The sequence below is a fragment of the Homo sapiens genome, chromosome 18 (genome assembly GCF_000001405.40).
Source record: "Homo sapiens chromosome 18, GRCh38.p14 Primary Assembly".
In the NCBI taxonomy this organism is placed as follows: Eukaryota; Metazoa; Chordata; class Mammalia; order Primates; family Hominidae; genus Homo; species Homo sapiens.
In genome coordinates this window covers 61,617,747-61,619,483 of record NC_000018.10, presented here as the reverse complement: position 1 = coordinate 61,619,483, position 1,737 = coordinate 61,617,747, and the positions used below count along the sequence as shown (strand labels likewise).

Genomic DNA, 1,737 nt, shown 5'->3' with positions numbered 1-1,737 from the left:
TGAGACCTAAGGGTTTTGGGGGCTCACTGGAGAGTAACCCTAGCCTGAGCCTCGCAGTCCCCTTCAGGTTAGTTGTCCTCCTCACACAAATTGCTCTAGAAGTGAAGTGAGAGACAACACAGGGTGGGTGGCCAGAGACTCTCAGGATCCAGCAGGATGAGCAGCTGCTGTCCACTGCTTCCAGGGCTACAAGACAGCCTCTACCCCCAACACCCATCCCAGGTTTCGGCACCAAATGTAAGAGTTAAAGAAAGAGGAAAGAAACACAAAAAGCGGCTCAACAGTCAAAGACAGGTGTATTTTGGAGAATAAACCTGAGAGAGGCTTCTGGCCAATTTTGGTCAGGAGCACTCTCTCTTACAAATTAAGAGTATTTATTGGGGAGAGAGCTTATCAGAAGCTTGGAATGTTTCTGTGTAAGGGAGGAGTTTATGGAGGGGTTGGAATATCTCTGGTTGGAGAAGAGCTTATCTTGGGGCTGACATTTCTCCTGCTGGACGGGAGGTTATCTTGGGGCTGGCATGTCTCTGGTCAGGGAGGGGTTTATCTTATGGTTGGAATGTTTCTGGTCGGAGATGTAATTTGTAGTTTATGGTCATGCTGACCTTAGCCATTAGGCTGATGCCCTTTGGATTTAGGAGGTTTTTGATCAAGGGGAAATTTAGAATGGCAGTGCTTGTCCAAGATGGTGATGTTCCTGCTCTGTCAGAAACCAATCCTTCAAGAATATTAAAGGACCACTGTATATGATATAGTCTTGCTAGAATGTTATATTATATTGTAAAATAGACATAAAATATTAAAAAGAAAATAAAAGTAAAGGTTTTGGCTGCTATTGTCTATAGAGGATGAGCTTATAGGGCACCTGGAGCAAGGGTTCTGGATCCCAGGCGCGAGGTTTGTTAAAATGAGTCTTCGGAAGCAAACCTCTGGTGACTCTTAAAGCAAATCTTGGGTCAGCCAACTGTGGTAAAATTAAATTCTGCAGTGGATTATTGAGGGGTTCTGGCTTGCCTGGATGGCTACATGAATATAGCCCTGGAGCAGGCAGAAGAATATGTAATGGACAACTGAAGAATAAGCATGGGGTTGCATTTAGCCACAGAAACCATGTGTTCTACATCAGTGCACAGAAGAAAAGGATGTGACGACACCAAGAGAGCAATGCTTTTCATACATGGATGTAGTTTTTATGGAACCTTTTTCCATTTTTTGCTTCTTTTGTGATATAATTTGTCCAGGTTTTTATAATAGTTTGTGTGTAGCAGGACAAGTCGCGGACAAAACCCCTCAGACACTGAGATAGTGAAGGGAGTGGCTTTAATCAGCTGGGAGTATTGGCAGGCTAGCGTCTTAAAATCCGAGCTCATCAGGTGCTCAACTTCTGTCCCTTTTAAGGGCCCGCAACTCTAAGGGGGTCCACGTGAGAGAGTCGTGATTGATTGAGCAAGCCAGGGGGTATGTGACAGGGGCTGCGAGCACCGGTGGTCAGAGTGAAACAGAACGGAATGGGAGGTATCACGATGTCCTTCCATACAATGTCTGGAAACTATAGATAACAACAGTTGCTAGGTCAGGGGTCAAATTTTAACTACCAGGCTTAGGTCAGGCAGGCCAGGCCTAGTTTCGGGTCTGGTTCCTTGGTTTCAGGTCTGGTTCCTAGGCACTGGGCTACCTGCCTTTGGTTTCTCTTCTCTTTCGTTTTCTGAGTATAAAACAATATGAGAGGGTCTCTCT

The 1,737-nt window shown here is 45.3% G+C and overlaps 1 pseudogene; it reads left to right on the top strand.

The window, feature by feature from the left end:
* On the top strand, positions 822 to 1,260 carry LSM6P1 (LSM6 homolog, U6 small nuclear RNA and mRNA degradation associated pseudogene 1; annotated as a pseudogene).